At 35.9% G+C, this 23,566-nt stretch overlaps 1 protein-coding gene across 37 annotated transcripts in view; it reads left to right on the forward strand.

The window, feature by feature from the left end:
• The window catches only part of APC (APC regulator of Wnt signaling pathway), a 138,742-nt gene that overhangs the window by 40,384 nt on the left and 74,792 nt on the right, over positions 1-23,566 (forward strand). For 26 of the 37 annotated variants that reach the window (NR_176366.1, NR_176365.1, NM_001407470.1 and 23 more), the window contains 3 exons: positions 6,992-7,144; positions 18,445-18,529; positions 19,308-19,509. Coding sequence is in view for 31 of the 37 variants with exons in the window: in NM_001407447.1 (NP_001394376.1) it covers positions 7,010-7,144; positions 18,445-18,529; positions 19,308-19,509 (422 nt within the window). In the remaining 6 variants the exon portion in view is untranslated. The remainder of the gene's footprint in view (positions 1-6,991; positions 7,145-18,444; positions 18,530-19,307; positions 19,510-23,566) is intronic. The other 11 variants (NM_001407446.1, NM_001354897.2, NM_001354902.2 and 8 more) reach the window with 1 other exon arrangement.

A 23,566-nucleotide genomic window follows, 5' to 3' on the forward strand; every position in this document is an offset into this window, starting at 1 on the left:
GGTTACCTTGGGGTGTTTGAAAACCCAAATTAGGAAATTATGCTTTAGACCACCTGTTTTTGTAAATTAAGTTTTATTAGAGCATGGGCATGCCCATCTATTTATGTGTTTGGGGCTGCTTTTGTGCTACAGCTACAAAGTCAAGTAGTTGCAACAGAAATCATACGACCCACAAAGCCTTATAATATTTATTATCTGGCCCTTACAGAAAATGCTTGCCAACCCCCGCTCCTGGTCGTTGGGATGGGCATCTTGAGACCTGCCCACACGTGGTATGGGCTTGGATAGGTCTAGCCAGTGTTATGTAGCTATTTACAGAATGTAAGCAAAGGAAAGTGTGGGGAAAGAATATGGCAAACAGAAAACTGAATATCACCACCTAATGGGGCCTTAGTAGGGAAGAGAAAGAGAAATAGAAAAGGGTTGTTAAAGAGAAAATTAAAATGGATGAGGTGAATTCTGCTTGGAATTTAAAACTTTTTGGTATATTATTGATTTTGTATCTGGCAAGCCTAAAATTTTTATATTTCTAAGATGTTTCTATTTTGTTTCTTTCCAATGATAACACTTTCTCTTTTTTAAATTTTACTGTGTGAATTAGGACTTCCAGGATTATGTTGACTGGAAGTGTGGATAGTAGACATCTTATTCCTGATTTTAAAGAGAATGTCTGTAACATTTCACTATGAAGAATGAAGTTTATAGCTGGGTGTGGAGCGCCTGTAATCCCAGCAGTTTGGGAGGTGGAGGCGGGCGGATCACTTGAGGTCAGGAGTTTGAGACCAGCCTGGCCAACAGGTAAAACCCCATCTCTGTAATCCCAGCTACTCGGGAGGCTGAGGGATGAGAATTGCTTGAACCTGGGAGGTTACAGTGAGCCCAGATCATGCCACTGCACTCCAGCCTGGGCAACAGAGCAAGACTCCATCTATTTAAAAAACAAAAAAAAGAATGAGGTTTACAAAATTAGCTGGGCATGTTGGCTTGTGTCTGTAGTCCCAGTTACTCTAGAGGCTGAAGCAGGAGGGTTACTTGAGACTTGAGCCAGGGAGGTCAAGGCTGCGGTAAGCCTAGGTGACAGAGTAAAACCCTGTCTCAGAAAAAAAGAATGAAGTTTGCTTTAGCTCTGACAGTTTCCCTCCTATTTCCAGGTTTTTATGGAAAGTTTTTTCTTTGTCTAAGATGGTTTTTCTTTAGTATTTTAATGTAGCGAGTGACACATATAAATGATCTTATATTGCACTCTACTCGCATTCCTGGAATAAACTCAGCTTTGTTCTGCTGTAGTTTCTTTACTGTATGTTATTGTATTCTGCTTCCTGATAATCTCGTTTAGATTTTTCAAATCAACATTTGTAAATATTAGCTTATGATTATTCTTTTTCACACAATCTTTGACCTGTATGTCATGGTTAGATTGGCTTCATGGAATGCATTGGAAAATATTTGCTATTTTTCCATCCTTAGAAGCATTTGTATAAGATTGGAATGATTTGTTCCTTAAAAGTTTGGTAGAAGGTGTTTGTAAAACCATTCAGATACGGTATTTTGAAGGATTTGGAGGAGGAGGGGAAAGATATTAATACTTACTGCTCCAATTTTTTTTTTTTTTTTTTTTTTTGATATGGAGTCTTGCTCTGTCACCCAGGCTGGAGTGCAGTGGCATGATCTTGGCTTACTGCAACAACCTCCACCTCCCGTGTTCAAGCGATTCACCTGCCTCAGCCTCCGGAGGCGCTGGGACTACAGGCACATGCCACCATGCCCGGCTAATTTTTGTATTTTTAGTAGAGGCGGGGTTTCACCATGTTGGCCAGATGGTCTCGATCTCCTGACCTCGTGATCCACCCGCCTTGGCCTCCCAAAGTGCTGGGATTACAGGCATGAGCCACCACGCCTGGTCCAATTTTTTAATAGTTGTAGAACTATTAAGGTTTTTCTGTTGCTTCTTGAATCAATTCCCCCTCCCTAGAATCTTTAATATGTTTGGAGGTTGTTTTCTTTTTCCTGTCTCTAATCATACTTAGTTGTTTTTTTTTTTTTAAATCCAACTTTTGGATGGTTTTCTTTTTCTCTTTTTTTTTTTGTTTTTTTTTTTTGAGATGGAGTCTTGCTCTGTCTCCCTGGCTGGAGTGCAGTGGCGCGATCTCGGCTCACTGCATCCTCCACCTCCCAGGTTCAAGCTAGTCTCTCACCTCAGCCTCCCAAGTAGCTGAGATTACAGGCATATGCCACCACGCCTGGCTAATTTTTGTATTTTTAGTAGAGATCGGGTTTCACCATGTTGGCCAGACTGGTCTTGAACTCCTGACCTCAAGTGATCCGCCCGCTTCAGCCTCCCAAAGTGCTGGGATTACAAGCATGAGCCACCGCCACCTGGCCAATGCTTTGCTTTTCAAACTCTTCAAAGGGTATGTAATAAAAAGGAAGGCTTACCACCAGACACCATACCTTGATTCTATAAGCAGTGACTGTATTTTTGTATGTTCTTTAAGTGATATTTTTTATCCTTATGCACTCCTTTATTTTTACTGGAAGAGGAGGGACCACATGAGGCATTAGTGATGAGCATTCTTTTTTTTTTTCTTGGCTTTTGCCTGTTTTTTATGTTTGTTTGTTTTGTTTTTCATCAACCTCATTTTTACATCAGCCTCATTCTTCTTAATACCAATGTAGTATTTCACTGTACAGATGTGCATTATTTATTTTAACGTAGTTGTGCTTTTATAGCAAATAGAAACTTTCCCATTTGTTTGAAGTACCCTAAGAATCTCCTTTATTACTCCTAGTCTAGTAACGGACATCATTACTTTAGAGAACTCTACTTGGCCCTCTGTGTGTCTTACACCCATTAAACAAATTAAAATTAAAATGTTCCATACCATCCTTTGAAGAGGGTGTACACCATTTAAATATCTTTACTTAAAAAAATAAAAGTCTGCTCTCATAAGCAATGAAATGTTTTTCAAACATTTAAATCTCTGTTCCTTTTTGCAAGTTATCCTAGTGTGTTGTATGAGGAATAGATGCAGTTTTTTCTTTTTCCTCATGGCTGTCCTATTTCCCAGCACCACTTTAAATTCCATCTTTTTACAAGTATTGAGATGCTACTTTAATCATATACTGAATTTATATATATTTACTTCTGGATTTTAAACATTGTGTTCTCGTGGTTGATCTATTCATGTACTGGTATTGTAGCTTTTTAAAAAACTTTTAATTTTAAATAACTTTGGACTTACAGAAGAGTTGGAAAAATAGTACAGAGAGTTTCTATATACCTTTTACAGATTCCCCAGATGATTAACATCTTATATATCTGTACTACAATTATCAAAACAAAAAAACTAATCTATTGGTACAATATAGTTAACTACATTTATATGGTTTTAATTATAAAGGCTTTGTACAATATTTTAATATGTTGTTGGTTTACTCCCTGCTCTTCTTTCATATTTTCAATTTTTTAAATGTCTAGCTGCAGAAAATAAACAAAAGCTTTATATAGTATTTTTACTGGGACTGTAAAATTTATAAGTTAGCTTAGGGAGAAATGGCATTTTTATGTTGCTGAATCTTGGTATACCAGAATAAGAAACGTCTTTCCATTTGTTGAAGTCTACTTTTCTATCTTTCTCATATATGTTTTGGACTCTTTTTGTAGTTTATGCCCAGATATTTGCATTTTTTATTGTAAATGGGATCTTTTCTTTCATTTATCTTCTGTCTGGTTTCTCTCCCCTATAAATGAATGATTTCTGTATATTTTGTACTATACTGTATTGCCAAATTATATTATTATAATAATATTTCATCGATGCTTTTGTATATTCCAGGTATATAATTGTGTTATCTGTGAATAATGTTCCCTTTCTAATTTTTTTCTAATTTTATTCATTAATTTGTGTTGACTAATATTATGACTAATAGAATGGTACCCTGACTGTAGGACTATATCCAGTGTTTCCACATTAAGTATGCTGTTGGCCTTGGGGTTGATAGATCATGTTAAAGAAATGTTCTTTTTTATTCAGTATTTTCAACAAGAATGGGTATTAAATTTGTAAAGTGTCTTTTCCTCATCTTTGGCATGAACATATGATTTTTTCCCATATCTATTATGTTAAATGATATAATTAATTTTCTAATAGTGACTTTTTCATTGTAAATTATATTTTTCATCTCTTTTGGGATCAGTTCTGATAGATTATATCTTCTAGTAAATTATTTTGGGTTTTCAAATTTGTTTGCATAGAGTTGAGCAGAGTCATCTTTTATGATTCTTTTGCTTTCCTGCCTTCTTATTCATATTTTCCTCATTTCATCTAAAAATGCTGGAAAATATATCTTTGTTTTTCCATGAAAACAAAACAATAAAAGCAGCTCCATTAATGTAAAAAAGAAGTGATCTCAAACTTCTGAAAATAATAATCCTCCACATTTAATTCTGATTATCTTTTGCCAGCCTGAAATTTTTTGCTTCCTTGCTTTAATTTCTTACATTACTTGTAAATTTATTTTCTAATGAACATTTGAATAAAAGTCTAGATAATAGTCCTTGTGCTTTCTTCTCCCCTACCCCACACTTACAAGGTGCAGCAGTGTCTTTAGTGGTCATCTTAACTGCAGAAAAACAAATTGAGAGGTTTGCATGCTCTCAGTAAAGTGAAAGATTGGGAGGTTTTCCCCATTTCATGGTGTGTGGCAGCTGTAATGTGATCACACAAGTTTCAAATTTGAAAAATGTTTTAAAGATATATTTGGTATGCAATTCGTGTAATTGCAAAAAAGGCATTCCAAAGTAAATTTATGACTTCACAAATTTTGTATGACTTCACAAGTTTTGGATTAGGGAGGTATGGCTGCAGCATCCTAAAACAATATAAGGTTGGGTATTCTTCCATGAAACTTGTTATTTTTTCCATAAAGTTAGATTCTTTCTAGAGCAGAAAGAACTTTAATGATTGGGAATCTGGAGTTAAGGGAAAAAAAGATGATTAAAAGTTTAATTGTTCATCTGAAGAGTTGATTTTTTTATTCCTGTAATAAAGGGTACTTTTAGCAGTCTCTGCTCATCTTGCCCATCCGGCTCTTTTTGTGGTTGTGTAAGGTTATAACTTCTGTGTCTCAGTAAACTTGTGCATGCCCATTTTTTTCTCTGTTACTACCTTTTCTCTTATTTTGTTTTATTATTTTGATGTAAAATTACCTGTTAATTTTATTTGAAATGAGAAATTTTAAGGTTCACATTATTCAAATTCTGTCAGATCCCTACCTCTGTCATATGGTTTATAATGTGCTGGGTATTTTCAGACCTGCTTATTAAAAAGATGTAAAACAAAATAATGATCACTCCTGTGGATTTTTCCTTTATTTTTGAGATGTCTCCTTTGGCTGCATTACTTCTTCACCCCTTGCCCATTGATCAGAGGAGGGGTCTTAACTATGGGTGAACCCTATATCTTACTGAAGAGGTTATGTTACATGTATATTTTCATAATATAACTTACATTTACATAGTACTTTTATTTTTAGCATACCTTTTTTTATTAATCCTAATAATATCACTGTAAGTTATGTTGAAGCAGATTGTAAGTGTTCATTTACAAATTGTGAAATGAATTAAAATGAAAGGGCAAAGATTAAATCATGACCAGGCCTGAAATTAACACACAAGACTCAATTTTTTTCAACCAAAGACTTTTGTAGGTGATCCCTGCCTGCAGGACTCCCCTTCCTCCTCAGATGTCATTGGATTGTACCAGGTTTACTGTAGATTCTAGCCGTTGTAGAACTAACTAGATCTAAGATGAGTCCCCTGATTTCCTTTGGTAGAGTCTTCCAATTGCTGAACTCCAATATTGTCGTGACTAGCCAGTGTTACAACCTGTCTGCCTTATTTTGTGTAATGGATTTCATATTACAGAGGCATTTTTTTAATGTCAAGATGTTTAAGTATTGCTTAAGTGCAAACTACTTAATACTTTTTAGCTATTAAGTAATTAAGATAGGCAGGATTTTATTTGTTCCAAAATGATTTGACCTAAACTAAAAAGAGAATGTGGATCTCCTGAATCTTACTTGGTTAATCTTAATATAACTCCTAGCATTCTATAATTCTTCCTAAAGTCCTCTTACCTGGCTATCTTTTGTATCTTCTTTGTCTCTCCTCTTCTTTCCCAGTCATAATAACTGCCAGACTCTGCTTCATTTCTCTTTGACAGTCTCTACTCCTAAGGTCATCCATTCTCTTTAGGTATCTTTTGGCCTCAGTTTGAGCACAGCAGATCCCAAGACCACATATGCCATAGCATAGGCTATTATAGTCAACCTTTTGAATAAATGTGATTGAACTTTATGTTAGTAATTCTTATTTACCATCTTCCTATCAAAAAGGCTTAAAGTCTTCATTTAATGCTCTCCTTCATGTCCATTTTGTTAAATGATTGCCTTTTAATGACATCTTAGAACTTCAGAACTATTTCACCATGGAGGATGTGTAAGATTAGCCTTTTATCAAATAAAAAGTGTGAAATGGAATATGTAATCTCATTAATCCATTCTGGCTCTAAAATTCTGTGACTATCAGATAAAATTCAGAAATAAAATAGTATTACTAATATAAATAAATTTTTATCATAATTATATTTCCTAAGTTTTGCCTGTAAGAATGGGTAAAATATCTTTAAAACCTTGAAGAAATTATTACTTGATAGAAAGTTTAATCCATCTGTGAGAAGGCAAATGTATTCAGACACAACTAAAGTTCTCTCTTCTATTTTAATTTCATTTATCTTGAACTAAGACTCCACTGTTTCATCCTCTTAGATGCTGCTACTTGAACAATATTGTTTTGAGACCAAAAACTAGCATATTAACACAATTCTTCTTAAACGTCTTAAGAGTTTTGTTTCCTTTACCCCTTTCTTTAAAAACAAGCAGCCACTAAATTTTTTAGTAGTGAATTTCAAAATCCTTTTTAACCTTATAGGTCCAAGGGTAGCCAAGGATGGCTGCAGCTTCATATGATCAGTTGTTAAAGCAAGTTGAGGCACTGAAGATGGAGAACTCAAATCTTCGACAAGAGCTAGAAGATAATTCCAATCATCTTACAAAACTGGAAACTGAGGCATCTAATATGAAGGTATCAAGACTGTGACTTTTAATTGTAGTTTATCCATTTTTATTCAGTATTCCCTCTTGTAAACTTGAGGTAAGACACTTTACTTAAAAGTGTATTTTAAATTAAGCAATAATATGTAAACTCTTTCTTGCAAAAGTTAGCATTTATATTTTTAAATAAGATATATTGAATTCATTCAGTGAATCATATAAAGAAAATAAGTGTAAAACTCCAATGGCTAGTTAGTTCTTAGTTCTTTTTAAGATTAAAGAGAAGAGACCAAATATAGCATCACTGTACTGAGGCAAGGTTTTCTGTGTAGTTCATAGAAACTAGCCTCATGATTTTAGAATATGCCTTGAATATTAAGTGTAGCCTTCCTCCCCAACTCCCTCAGATCTTGCCACCCCTTAAGTGCTGCAGTGATAGGTGATCAAGAAAATCAGGATACCCTACTGGGAAGAGCCATGAACTGAAAGTCAGTACCTGGTTCTATCCCTGGCTTTCCCACAAACTGAGCTATATGACCTCTGTATATTCTTCAGAACTTAAGTTGTCTTATTTGGCAAGTACAGGCATCACACTAGTCTAGATGATTTCCATGGCACCTTCAAGCCCTAAAATTGGCTTGCCAAATAGTACTGAAAAGTTCTGATCACCTCCAAGACAGGTTAGAAAATCGTCTATAGTGGGGAAAATGTTCTGGTTTCAAAATAATTGAGGTTAAAACTTTAGCCATTTTAATTCCCACTTAGGCAGATTCTCTTCTGACTGAATTTAATAACTTCATAGAATTGGACATTATCAACAAAAATATTACTTCCACCGGGTGTGATGGCTCAGGCCTGTAATCCCAGCTCTTAGTGAGGCAGAGGCAGGAGGATAGCTTGAGCCAAGGAGCTCGAGACCTGCCTGGGCAATATAGCAAGACCCCATTCTCAAAAAAAAAAAAAAATTACTTCCTTTATAAAAAAAAAAATCTTCCTGCTTTGTGTTGTTTCTCCCTCTTGGCTATTTTAACATTTGAGTTCCTGGTCCAGTTCTTCCTGTCTGTTCACTACTCTTATTCCTTACTAATTTCCTATTCTATCCTAGTTTTTTTCCTATGCATTTCAAGGTTTCCCTTATTCTCCAGACTTTTGTGTGTCACTGAGGTAACTGTTTCTGCTTCTCTTTTACCCTTTATATTCAGTATCATCACAGCTCAACCTTTGCTCATGTGTCCTATTCTCTTTTTCCATCCCTCTATCAATCTTTTCTACTCTAATTAGCCTCTTCTGTGGTAAAACTGTCCCCAGCAATGACAGACATCCAATATACCTACTTCAAATCCCTTGGGAAATAAGGTAGACTATAAACAAACATTTTATTCTTTCCACAAACTATGGGTGACCTAAAAAGACTTGCATTAGTTGCCTAACAGGTTAAAAAAGAGTAGTTTGGTATTTTAACATTGATCAACACATTACATTTCAAATCATTATACTTGGCATGTGTTTTTAAAAGTTTTAAAATACAGAATTAAAATATTCTTTCATCTACTTTAGTATGGTATATTTCGCAGAGAACTCCTCCTGGCAGGCCTGTTTAGATAGTACATGTCTGTTTTGTAGTGTAGAACTCTGAGATCTCTTTTTTAAAGTTTGTTTAATTCCTTAAGCAATTCAAAACTCATATTTGAGAGACAATGTAACTTACCCTTAGATCCATCTCCACACTGAAGTGGAATGTCTCTCAGAGTGACAATAGAAGTCACACCCTCAAATTTCTACAGTGGAATATCTAGTTGATCATTTATATGTGTGGTATAATACAAGTTGAGTATCCCTTACCCAAAATTGCTTCAGGCCAGAAGTGTTTTGGATTTTATATTTTTTCAGATTTTTAAATACTTGTATTATACTTCTTGAGCATTCCTAATTCGAAAATCCAAAATCTGAAATGCTCCATTGAGCATTTCGTTTGAGTGTCATGTTGGTGCTCAGAAAGCTCAAGACTTTGGAGCATTTCAGACTTCAAATTTTCGGATTTAGAATGCTCAACCTATATACATCAGGAATAGTGGCACTTCAGATATACCTGAAACCAACCATAAATTTTATTTTACTCAGCATGTGCTTCAACAGACATCTTGTGAATCCATTAACATATTTCCTTAGAATTGGACATGTGGTACCATAACAATTACAGCCCTGTAATGAAATTATATCTCTTTTTAAGGTTTTATGCTGTGAAAGAGCATAAACCATGAGCTATTTATTTTGTCTTAGAATATTGTTTTGTGTAGACACTTTTGAAACCATTGGCACTTCCTACTGTGGATTAAAATTAATCCACACAATGGTTATTTCTCCCAAAATCACTTGCTAGACTTTGTAATACCTTATATAAACTCGAATCACGTTTCCTGTTCATTAATCTCTTTACCCCCAAAAAAGGCAAAAGGAGGCTGGGCACCGTGGCTCATACCTATAATCCTAGCACTTTCGGAGGCCAAGCAGAAAGATTGTTTGAGCTCAGGAATTTGAGACCAGCCTGGGCAACATGGCAAGACTCTGTTTCTGCAAAAAAATACAAAAATTAGCCAGGTGTGGCGTATATCTGTGGTCCCAGCTACTTGGAAGGCTGAGGTGGGAAGATTGTACTCCAGCCTGGGCAAAAGAGCCAGACCTGGTCTGTCTGAAAAACAAAAACAAAAACAAAACAAAAAACAGCAAAAAGTAGGTCTCCTCCAACCGGATTACTTAAAGTCTAAAATTTATGTAGTAGTACCATCTAGTGGCAAAAGAGGACACTGCTTTGCTATTTGATTATATGTGTCTTTGTAGCAGCCAGGGAAATAAGTGTTTATGGGTTAGGGAAATGTGAACACTGTATATTAAGGAAATATTTATTTTTAAGTATAATGATATTATTGTGTTTGTGTTTAGAAAGAATCCTTGTTTAAATATACATATTGAAATATTTACAAAGAAGTTGTATGATGCCTGAGCTTTATTTTAAAAATAAGTCTGAGGCAGAGGGGTGGAAATAGAGGAAGTGGATATGGGTGTAGATGAGATAAAACTGACCATGAATTGATAATTATTGATGTGGGATATGAAGGTACATGGGGCTTTGTTATAATTTTCTGCATACTTAGGTATATGTTTGAAATTTTTTGTAATGAAAATAAAATAGAGATTACATGGAATTTAGATGATATGAAATCAGATAAATGCAGAATTATAGCTAATCTTAAAAAAAGTTGTGTAGTGTATTTTTTACTCCATGGCTAGAGCCCTCCCCCCAACTTGTTTTTTTTGTTTGTTTGTTTTTTGTTTTTTGTTTTTTGTTTTGAGACGAAGTCTCACACTGTCGCCTGGGCTCTGGTGTGCAGTGGGGCAATCTCGGCTTGCTGCAGCCTCCGCCTCCCGGGTTCAAGCGGTTCTCCTGCCTCAGCTTCCCAAGTAGCTGGGACTACGGGTGTGCACCACCACGCCCGGCTAATTTTTATATTTTTAGTACAGACGGGGTTTCACTATGTTGGCTAGGCTGGTCTCGAACTCCTGACCTCGTGATCCACCGCCTCGGCCTCCCAAAGTGCTGGGATTACAGGCATGAGCCACCACGCCTGGCCCCCTCCCCACAACTTTTTTTTAGATGGAGTTTCGTTCTTGTCGCCCAGGCTGGAGTGCAGTGGCACAATTTTGGCTCACTGCAGCCTCCACCTCCTGGGCTCCCAGAGTAGCTGGGATTACAGGTCCCTACCGCCACGCCCGGCTAATTTTTGTATTTTAGTAGAGACGGAGTTTTGCCATGTTTGCCAGGCTGGTCTCAAACTCCTGACCTCAGGTGATCCACCCGCCTCGGCCTCTCAAAGTACTGGAATTACAGGCATGAGTCACCGCACCCAGCCTACCTAGAGCTCTTTAATTGACTTTAAAATACTGAGTATAGCAACAAGGTAAATATGGCATTTTAGAGATAAAAAGCTGAAAGATGGCATGGTGTAGGAAGAATTATCTATAGGCAAGTTATTGAAGCATTTACATCTTTGTTGTAGTTTGACAAAATTTAATATTTATAAATTGGTCTATAAACTGTAAAACAATATACATGTAAAGTATATCTTTTCAGAAAGTAAGGAAAAACCGAGATCAACATTTCAGAATGTATTTTGAAGATGTAATTATCAAGTGTACTTATATCTGGTAATGAAAAGCATCTTTAATTATGATATACTGAAATAAATAAAAGTGGGTCAAGTAGCAGCCTCCCTGAAATGACAAAGTTGCTCATAGATAAATATCACTGGTATAACCACAGCAGATTTCATTTCTAATGAATAATTTTCTTTCTTTCTTTCTTTCTTTTTTTTTTTTTTTTTTTTGAGACCGAGTCTTGCTCTGTCACCAGGCTGGAGTGCAGTGACATGATCTTGGCTGTCTGCAACCTCCGCCTCCCGGGTTCAAGCTAATCTCCTGCCTCAGCCTCCCGAGTAGCTGGGACTACAGGCGTGCACCACCACGCCCAGCTAATTTTTGTATTTTTAGTAGAGATGGGGTTTCGCCATGTTAGCCAGGATGTTCTCAATTTCTTGACCTTGTGATCCTCCTGCCTCGGCCTCCAAAGTGCTGGGATTACAGGCGTGAGCCACCGTGCCCAGCCTAATGAATAATTTTCTAATGTTTCTAAAATGTTAAAATACTTCTAAGACAATGTGTGATTATATAGTGTAATTAATCTTTTAAAACTGAGCTTCCAGAATTTTAAAATACAAATGAATATTCTCTCCTTCAAAATTACATATGTATTTAAAAGCTGCCACTTCTCAAAGAACTTTTTGAAACATTTTTTTTTGGAACTGCTTTGCAATTGTATTCCATTTTCTTTTAAAAACTCTTCAAAATCAAGGGCCTCTTCTAGGTTGTATGCAGTATGCAGCCCCCAAGAAATCTGTCCCACTCAAAAACTAGAAAACACTGGATAAAATACAAAAATCATACTTTTAAGGACACTGGAGGACTGTGGAATCATCAAGCTCTTTATTAACTATAATTCTTAGGAAGAAAGAACCCTTTCTAGATAAGCTGAGATTACTGGTAATTTTCTTCCTGGGGTATATTGATTCTGGGTACAGATTGAGATTCATCATTGGCACAAGCAGGAGGACTTCACTGGGAGAAAGAAACTCTTGAGGACTTTCTGCAGGACTAGGTATGAAAGAAAATGAAATCGTTGGCAGCCTTGACAAACATGAGGGCAGATGTAGAGATACTAGCATTTAGAGGAGCTCTAAATGCATGGCTCATTTTTACCATGAGATATTGGCCGAGTCTTGTAGTGCAGGAGACTTGGGATAGACTAGAAACGCAGAATGTTAGCAGGCGAAGTCCTGCTAGAGGGAGAGACATGTTACTTTCATACCACAGGTCTCCTCAAGTCATTTGCCAGATTTTAAATTTTGTAGAGCAGGAGATTAAAGACCTGAGTTTACAACCTCCAAGAGAAACAACATTTAAGGCTAGAGAGTTAAGTGCTACCAGAGAATAAGGCTGAACTGGAAAGGCAAAGTGAAATATCCCATATTCCTGCAATGTTTAGGAAAGACCTATTAGAGGGAGACCTACCTAGTATATCAAACATGACTGGTTTTCCATTCAAGATAAATGTCAGATTTTGATACTGTATAGGGTAAGAAGTTAACTGCTGAGGAGATGGAGAACTTTCATATTTTCTATCTGAATATAGAGAGACACACTCAAGGAACTGGGAAAACCAAACCAGTTAGTTGTGAACTTAAAATTGCAACTAGGTCTCAATCCATTTTTTTTTTTTTTCAAGACAGAGTCTCGCTCTGTCGCCCAGTCTGGAGTGCAGTGGCACAGTCTTGGCTCACTACAAGCTCCACCTCCCAGGTTCACACCATTCTTCTGCCTCAGCCTCCCAAGTAGCTGGGACTACAGGCACCTGCCACCATGCCTGGCTAATTTTTTGTATTTTTAGTAGAGACGGGGTTTCACTGTGTTAGCCAGGATGGTCTTGATCTCCTGACCTCGTGATCCACCTGACTCGGCCTCCCAAAGTGCTGAGATTACAGGTGTGAGCCACCACCCCCAGCGGGTCCCAATCCATTTTTAGTTGCTAATTGGATTGAGGAGATCAGACCCCAACAATGGAAAAGGCAGACTCTCTAGAGGAAAATACTATCAATCATCTTAAGTCTCTTTTGTTCTTGTATACACAGTTGGCATACAGTCAAACGTTATATGAAATGCAGAGAAACTGGAAGATTACTGATAATCAAGGGAACAAATAGGTAATAGGAGCAAACTCAGATGATCCACATGTTGCAGTTAGTAGTCAAGGATTTTAACATAAGTATTATAAATGTCTTGAAAAAAAGAAAAATGAACAGATAGAAAATTTTGACAGAGAATTGGAGTCTATAATTAAAAGGAATCAAATAGATATTCTAGAACTGAAAAATATATTTGAAATTAACATTGGATGGGCTTAACAGCAGGCTGAACACTGAATTAGTGAACTAGTGAGAAGACAGAATTAGTGAACTTGAAAAAAGATCAGTAGAAAATATTCAAACTGAAGCACAGAGAAAAAAATGGAAAAAACAAAAAAGACAAAACAATGGCTTCTAGAAGAAAACATAGGTAATAGCTTCTTGTCCTGGGAGTAGGCAAAGATGTCTTAAACAGAATGCCAAAGCACCATATATAGAAAGAAATTTGATAGACCTCATTAAAACTAAGAACTCTTGTTCATCAAAAGACTCGAGTGTGCTTCTAGAAGAAAACATAGGATAATCTTATCTATGTGGCCTTGGGTGGGCAAAATTTCTTAGGACACACAAAAGACTAAACATAAAAATGTATAAGATAAACTTCATCAAAATTAAAAACCTGTGCTTTTCAGAAGACTTCATTAAGAAAATGAAAAAGTAAGCCATAGAGGAGAAAATATTTGCAATACATATATCTGACCAAAGGCTCAGTTCAGAATATATTAAGTAATTCCTTCAGAATATATAAATCCCACAAACCAGTAACAAAAAGACAATCCAGTTTTTAAAATGTGACCCAGGGACTTGAAAAGACAATTCAAAAAGAAAGATAAATGGCAGATAAGTCCATGAAAAGGGATTCAGCATCATTTGGCATCAGGGAAATGCAAAGACTATTTCACTCCTACTCAAATGACTGATGTTTAAAAGACTGATCACACCAAATGTGGAGCATTGGAATGCTCAGGCATTGCTGAGAGAAGTATTAAAAACCATTTTGGCAGTTTCCTTTAAAATTAAACCCTATGACTCAGTGTTTGCACTCCTAGAAATGTACTCAAGAGAAGTGAGGGCAAGTGTCCACTAAACGGTACAAGAATGTTCATAGTGACATTCTAAATAATAGCCTGCAGACTGGTAACAGCCCAGATGCCCCTTTAAGAGGAGAAAGGATAGATAAATTGGGCTGTATTTATACAGTGGACTGCTACATACTATACAACATTTAAAAACAATGAACTGATAAGGCAACAGCATGGACAGATTTCACAGATACTATGTTGAACAAAAAAAGTGAGACACAAAATACTTATGTACTGTGTGATTCCATTTATATGAAGGTCAAGAGCATGCCAAACTCTTCTGATAAAGAAGCCAGAATAGTGGTTACCTCTAGGAAATGAAGATTGGTAAAAGGAGCTTGAGGGAACCCTCTGGGGTGCTAGAAATGTATTTTCACCTAGATAGTGATTACATGGGTGTGAAAATTCACTGGATATTTAGGATTAGTGTATTTTACATATGTGTGTTGTGCCTCAATAAAACAGGAAAAAAATTACTTGAGGTCAGTTTTTATTGTGGAATAGCCATAAACTGTTCACAGCAAACTAGTAAATAATGTAGGTCATATTGGATGGTATCATCTTAAGGCAAAGTAACTGGATGTGACTGTAAATTTACACAGATTTTGTTGATGAGGTTCATAACTCAAAGCACTTACAAAAGTAATTTAACACATCATTGGAGTAAGTTAGTAGCTTTCCAAGGTGACTACTTTGGGAATCTTTTTAAAAATTGTTTGACCTTAAATCTTATTTACCTTTATGCTTATAGCTATCAATAGATTTCTAACAATGTGTACAGAAATTTTTAAAAATAGAACTTTATTACAAGTTGAGTATATTCACTATTTTATTAAATTAGGAAGTGTGGACAAAAAAAATCAAAATCAACTATTTTTTTTTAAATTTAAATCCCATCACCAGAGGTAAAAGTAACCTTTGATAGTATATATATATATTCTTTTCTCTATACATTTATGCAAACTTGCATTTGATGACATCATATTTTGCAGGTTTTTTTTTTCTGTGTAATTTATTGTCATCTTACGTCAGATTATGTATTTTACAGTTGCATAGTATTCCATTGTAGGTACAGCTAAAAAATGCTATGGTTTATTTAATACTTATTGTTGGACATCTGAATTTATATGGCTTTTTAATTTCTTTTTTTAGTATTTTAAGTTTTTATTATTTCTTTTTAAAAAGACCATTAATGTACCATTAGTTTTGAAAAAATTAGATGTATGTCCAATGATGTACGAAGGATTTTTTATTTTTAAACTTTTAAATCTTTGTAACTTTTCTAAAAACAAGTAGGATTTTTTCTAATACATATTGTTTAAAAAGTATGACACAACAAGTAAAAAAGAAATTGCTTGTAATTTCAGTCTCCATAGAATAACACTGTTAACATTTTAATGATTCTGCTTTCAGCATCAGCTTCACCTGAGAACTTGTTCAAAATGCAGATTTTCAGCCTCTACCCCAGGCTTACTGAATCGACAGTCTATGTTTTAACAAGGTCTTCAGGTGATTCTGATCCATGCTGACGCTTGAGAACACTACTGTAGGCTTTGGAGAAGAATCTTACAAAGAGAGACCTGATCGGCCGGGCGCGGTGGCTCACGCCTGTAATCCCAGCACTTTGGGAGGCTGACGCGGGCGGATGGTGATGTCAGGAGATCGAGACCATCCTGGCTAACACGGTGAAACCCCGTCTCTACTATACTAAAAAAAAAAAAAAAAAATTAGCCGGGCGTGGTGGCGGGAGCCTGTAGTCCCAGCTACTGGGGAGGCTGAGGCAGGAGAATGGCGTGAACTTGGGAGGCGGAGCTTTCAGTGAGCCGAGATTGCGCCACTGCTCTCCAGCCTGGGCGACAGAGCGAGACTCCGTCTCAAAAAAAAAAAAAAAAAAGAGACCTGATCACAGCTGTGCCTTAAAAAGGCTGCTCTGACAGCTCTGTGCAAGGTTGAGCCACTTGGGAAATTATTTTCATAGTTTAGGTAGGGTTAATAACAAGATAGTGGCAGTAAGAATATGAAAGAGATAGCTGTAAGAGAGCTAATAGAGGTAGAATCACCAGAAATCCATAACTGGGAATGTGAAGGAAGAGGTGCTAAGGATTTGAGCTGGAGGAGAAAGAGAAGGCTAATGCCATTTAACTGAGAGAATACAAGGCAAAGAATAGGCTTTATTGGTACAAAATGTTAGTTCAGTTCTGGACATTTAGATGTATGGTACCTGTCATACAGATGTAAAGCATCCATCAGTTGGTTGGAAAAGTGAGTCTGAAGTTTGCAAGTGAAGTTAGGATTCGAGACATGTCATTGGAAATTAACTGCTCAAGGGTAGTTGTTGAATTGTGAGACCGGAAGCCTGAGAAATAAGGATAAGATTAAAAAAGGATTATTGAAGGACTAAAACAGTAGCAATGGATGGAAAGAGAATTGGAATCCTGGAAAAATCACAGGTAGTCTCCAATGAGAGTTCTTAAATGGAAGAGATGGTGCCCTGAAGTTTATAGTAGACATTTTGATGGGCATATTCAAATTCAGTAAAGGAAGTTATCACTGAGCAAATTTGTTTTCTATTCCACAAATGTAAAACACTCTGGAATATTTTGAAAATAATACAGTCACCTTCATGCCCCCACATCTACTTACCAAAGCCTTTCAAACTCCAACATAGTCTATTATTTTGAAGGTCAGATACTAAGGCTATTTATTAAAAGGAATTCTGGGGTTTGGGGGCGATTTCTTTGTTTCTGTTTTTTTAGCTGAGGTCTCACTCTGTCCCCCAGGCTGGAGTGCAGTGGTGAGACTGTGGCTCACTGCAGCCTCAAACTTCTGGGCTCAAGTGATTCTCCTGCCTCAGCCTCCCAAGTAGCTGGGACTACAGGCACATGCCACCACTCATGGTTTTTGTTTGTTTGTTTTTTTAATTTTGTAGGGACAGAGTCTCGCTATGTTGTTCAGGCTGGTCTCAAACTCCTGGACTCAAGTGACCTTCCTGCCTTAGCCTCCCAAAGCGTTGAGGTTACAGGCATGAGCCACCATGAATGCTTACAATGTCACTGTCAAGATAAATCAGTGAAACCGTCTTTGCTCCAGTCACTCACTTTTTGACAGGTTTTCCTTTTAATGTATTTACAGATTACTTTTCTTATAGGGGAACGTTCCATTTAGTTACAAAGTTGCAAATGTTCAAATATTTTGTCTTGCATTCAGGAAACCTGATTGGCCAAAGAACTATGCTAGGAGCTAGAATGGAATGCCTCAGTAAATGGAAAATAATATAAATTATTATTAAGTAGCATGCAATAAGAGCCAAAGTTCACAAATGTAATGGCAGAAAAACTGGTAGAAAATGAAAATTTCCAACATTCTTTGAGAAAAAATGATCAAGAAAGGGATTACATGGGAAAGAAGAAAAGCATCAAAAGTCAAGAAGTAGTGAACATACAGTCATTTGAATGTATGCTAATTGTAAATTAGTATACTAGCAGAATATACTTAAATGTGGTATATAAAAGCTTGAATGTTGAAGTTGTTAAATAGATTATGTGTTAATTTGGTGTTTTTTATGGTCATGTTGGTGCACGCTTAAGAGACATGGATTCTAAACACATAAGTAGCTTTTGTAACTTGAGCAAGTCTCTGGGTCTCACTTGTTTTATCTGAAAAATGAGAATAATTTGCATTGTTGGTTTTTAGGTTTGAAATAATGAATGTATCTTAAATGTGTTTCTAATACCTTGCACAGAGACTCCCCATAATCACCATTATCTCAAAATATCACTATTATTATTTGGCCATGATTTATTTATTAATAATGAATAATAGGTAATATATATAAGGTGCGTGCTTTGAGAGTGATCTGAATTTTTTTCTCAGCATACTTAAATGTCAAGAAATACAGAATCATGTCTTGAAGTTATTTAGAATTTCATGTTAATATATTGTGTTCTTTTTAACAGGAAGTACTTAAACAACTACAAGGAAGTATTGAAGATGAAGCTATGGCTTCTTCTGGACAGATTGATTTATTAGAGCGTCTTAAAGGTAGATTTTAAAAAGGTGTTTTAAAATAATTTTTTAAGCTCAAATTGTCATCTTTAGGTGTGTAGATCCAAGTACAGCTTCTCTCGATTTGGGTGTTGGTATCAGTTTTCTTGGTATGTTAGCCTTACCCTCAGGATGTAATTGTTAAAGTACAAATAAATAAAAAATGTATTTGTGTGTCATTTCTTCAGTTAAACATTTAACTGGCTTTGAATGAACTATTTTAAATCCCTCCCTTAAATAATTTTCGGCTCTTTGTAAAGCTTGTTGCTATTCTGCCAGTCACTAAATAGGGCTTTAGTATTCTATATGCCATAGACTTGAGCCTACTGTTTCATTGGAAGAAGTATTGTCTTCTTCATTCAGGATAGAAATACTTTAACCTTTTCACATATATAAGTTGATTATAATTCATTTTTAGCAGTTTTAAAAGGATATCTTTCTCATTCTGTTGCTTGAAAATTCCAGTGTCAGAACAGAGAAAGTGCTTGATAATAATTGAAGCCAGACAGAGAAATTACTTTTGGATTCTAAAATATTATTTAGAGGAAGTCTAAGGAAGTACATTTTATCTAATTTTCCTTTAACACACTCCTTATTTTTACCCTGACCCAAGTGGACTTTTCAGGGAAAGTCCTAAATAATTTTTGTTTTCAGTCATGTATATTTGTGGTTAAAATGTAAACCTAATATTTCACTTTAAAATAATATAACATTAAGAATATTTTAGACTGCTTAAAGCAATTGTTGTATAAAAACTTGTTTCTATTTTATTTAGAGCTTAACTTAGATAGCAGTAATTTCCCTGGAGTAAAACTGCGGTCAAAAATGTCCCTCCGTTCTTATGGAAGCCGGGAAGGATCTGTATCAAGCCGTTCTGGAGAGTGCAGTCCTGTTCCTATGGGTTCATTTCCAAGAAGAGGGTTTGTAAATGGAAGCAGAGAAAGTACTGGATATTTAGAAGAACTTGAGAAAGAGAGGTAACTTTTCTTCATATAGTAAACATTGCCTTGTGTACTCCAGTTTATTGTTATTTTGTAATATAATATTTAAATTGTGAATTTATAGTAGGTGATAGCTAACACTTAGAGCATTTTGCATTTTTAAACTCAAAGATAGCATGTTATTGATTGCACTTACATTAAATCTAAAAATATAAACAAGGCCGTTTCCTGGGATTCTGAAGACCTATTTTGTCACTTATTTTGTTTTTTTGTTTGTTTTTTGGGGTTTATTTTGAGACAGGGTGTCACTGTGTCTCCCAGGCTGGAGTGTAGTGGCATGATCTCGGCTCACTGCAACCTCCACCTCCTGGGTTCAAGCGGTTCTTGTGCCTCAGCCACCCAAGTAGCTGAAACTATAGACGCCTACCACCACGCCTGGCTAATTTTTGTATTTTTGGTAGAGACGGGGTTTCTTCATGTTGGCCAAGCTGGTTATCACTTAAATACTTTGACTACTCTGTACATTGAGTAATACACATAATTATTATATTTATACGTAGTTAAAATGTGTAACTTGCCAGATACTTTGGCCCACACCTGTAATCCCAGCTACTCTGGAGGCTGAGGCGGTAGGATTGCTTGAGGCCAGGAGTTCAGGACTAGCCTGGGTGACATAGTAAGACTCTTTCTTTTTTTTTTTTTTTTTGAGATGCAGTTTCACTTTTGTTGCCCAGGCTGGATTGCAATGGCACAATCTCGGCTCACTGCAACCTCTGCCTCCCAGGTTCAAGCGATTCTTCTGCTTCAGTCTCCCAAGTAGCTGGGATTACAGGCATGTGCCACCACGCCTGGCTAATTTTATATTTTGAGTAGAGACAGTGTTTCACCATGTTGGTCAGGCTAGTCTCAAACTCATGACCTTAGGTGATTCCCCCCTGCCTCGGCCTTCTAAAGTGCTGGGATTACAGGCATGAGGCACTACACTTGGCCAAGACTCTGTCTCTTTACCAAAAAAAAAAAAAGAAAAAAAGTAGTAACTGGATTTTTATTGAATTTCTGATTATCTATTGAAGTATATTCAGTAACTACTAGATTCAGTAAAAGATGACTCTTTTCATTATGGAAGGCCCACTACAAGTGGCCACAAATGAAATACTTCTTTTTTTTTTTTTTTTTACTTTATAAATAATAATTGTACATTTCATGGGGTACATAGTGATGTTTCTACACATATAATTTATTGCAATCAGGTTAGCATATCTGTCATCTCAGACATTTATTATTTCTTCGTGTTAGGAACATTCACTGTCTACCATCTAGCTATTTGAAACTATGTAATATTGTTAACTGTGCTCATCCTATGGTAGCGTAGAACACAGCCCTGTACAGTAGCGTAGAACACAGTCCTGTACAGTAGCGTAGAACACAGTCCTGTACAGTAGCGTAGAACACAGTCCTGTACAGTAGCGTAGAACACAGTCCTGTACAGTAGCGTAGAACACAGTCTTATACAGTAGTGTAGAACACAGTCCTATACAGTAGTGTAGAACACTAGAACTTATTCCTCCTATCTAGCTGTAATTTTATATTCTTTAACAAATCTCTCTTTATCTCTTCTTTCCCTCTGTGTTTCCTAGCCTCTAGTATTTACTTTTTACTTCTGTTAGTAAAAAGTAAATTTTTCTTTTTTTTCTTCTTTTTTTTTTTTTTTTTTTTGAGATAAGAGTCTTCCTGTCGCCCAGGCTAGAGTGCAGTGGCGCAATCTTGGCTCCTGCAACCTCCACCTCCTAGGTTCAAGCAATTCTCATGTCTCAGCCTCCCGGGTAGCTGGGATTACAGGCACGCCCCACCGCGTCCGGCTAATTTTTGTATTTTTAGTAGAGATGGGATTTCACCATGTTGGCCAGGCTGGTCTCGATCTCCTGACCTCAGGTGATCTGCCTGCCTTGGCCTCCCAAAGTTTTGGGATTACAGGCATGAGCCACTGCGCCTGGCCAACAAAACATTTCTTAATGTATAAGTTTTAATACCTGAAAAAAAATTGCTTGATGTATGGAATGAGTTCTGATTTTTCACAGCTAGTGTATTAATTCTTCTCTTCCTAAAGTTAACATTATCTCACTGCAGATACCAAAATATAGATCATTATCAGGAACTTCGTCAAATGTTTTATGTCCCCTAAAAGATTCCTTAATGCACATATTAAGGAATATCTTTATTATCTTTATATTTCTAAAAGTTCTATTAGACATTCAGAAAATGGTAAAATATATAAAAGCTTCATATTATCTCTGTGACCTTGGTTAAGTCATTAAATTTTTGTACCATTTTCTTCTGTAAGATAAAGATATGGTTCTACTTTGTGGCATTGTTGTGAAAATTGAATATTAGTATATAGGAAATGCCCAGCATATCTCCCTGAGAGGCAGAAGACCTTTTATAACTTTCTCTCCAGTTTCATATATGCCCATTTATAAAAATAGGGATAATTATCTGGACGAGAAATGATGTTTCACTGTCTTTTATTTCTTAAGTTTACATAAGTCTCTGTTTCATACATTGATCCTAGACTATTGAAACACCATCTTGAAAAATAAGGAGTGAACTTGGGTCCATAATCTTCCATCTCTTTTTCCCCTTTGAGCTCTATTAAGAGGCAGAGGGCATGCATACTAACCTTTCCTTACTTGCTTTCTTTTCCTTACTTTGCTTTATGTAGGCAAAGTCCTGATTTTATTAGCAGAGAGAGGGAATTTCAGAGAAAAATATTAATTTTTGAAATAAGTTTTACTGCAAATACTAGTAAACCTAACAAATACAGCTGTAAGTGGTAAGGAATACTTGTAATAAAAATGTTCTTAGTTTCTGTCTTGACATTATTTCTTGCTAGTCTTCCAGAGTTCTTTGCATCTAAATCTAGGAAAAGCTTATTTCTCTGTTCAAAGACTTAAATGCAATGATCCCCATGTTTTATTTATTATATAATACCACTGTAAGTAACTTTAAGCTAGTATTCTGACTTTTAACTCCAAGTGGAAAATACATTTCTTTTTAAAAATATTTAAAGGTGCTTTAGCCTTTTCTGTTGTTACTGTAGAAAAGACGTCTTGTTTTTGTTTTCGTTTTTCTCCCAAAATATGGCCCAACTTCTAATTCAGGCTTTATTACACTCTATAAAAAGTTGCTTTATCTGGAGAGAAAGAGGTATCAACATGGTGTTGTTAGAAGGTTCTCAACTCTCACTGATCATTAGTATCACTAGTTTAGCTTTATAAAGCATCATAAATGAAAAGTATCAGTATTCCTTTGCTATGTTCAGTCTCATTTCCCATGAGATAGTTACTTCTATAACTCTAAATAATATGTTTATATTGCTAGTATTGGACATGACTTACTGACTCACCACTCTGAAAGATGAAGATTTGTTAAATTCACTCAATTATCCATCCAGTTTTTAATTCTGTACCAATTCTTTGGTCGAATTTGTATACATATACACATAAGCAAATACACATACATATATATAAGTTCTATTTCTTGTTCTTTCCTGTGAGTGACTGTGTCTACTGAAGCCCCGCTGTATAAGATTTGGCAACTGTGTGTTTACCTTTATTTTGTTAAGACTGTTAACAGTTACATCATACTATATATATTTAAGTCTTCATGTTTTTTTATTCTGTAAATTAAGCATAATGTTGATGTGAAATAAGTGGGTTTTTTTAGGACTCTGTAGTCGTTGGACACTGTGAGTCAGTAGTATGCCAGAATTAATTTTTGCTCCCTATTGATAGAATATCATACTCTTTGTGCTGTTTAAAGGAAGATGATGCTATTTGGACTGTGTCTTTCTTATATAGCTCTTTGTTTTTGTCTCAAGTTTCTAATTGCCTTTCTTTTATGTTTTCGGGAGCAGAAACTTGTGCCTTTATGATAATATGAGGATCTAGTTTCATTTTATTCATAAATAAATTTTTATTGGAGCCAATGAATTTTTCTGATCTAATTTGTACCATTTGCTTCCTGAGCCTGCTACAAGACTGTCATACCACTGTTGTCATTATGCTTCCCATTTAGGTCTAATATGTTTGGGTGT

Source organism: Homo sapiens, chromosome 5 (genome assembly GCF_000001405.40).
Source record: "Homo sapiens chromosome 5, GRCh38.p14 Primary Assembly".
Taxonomy (NCBI): Eukaryota; Metazoa; Chordata; class Mammalia; order Primates; family Hominidae; genus Homo; species Homo sapiens.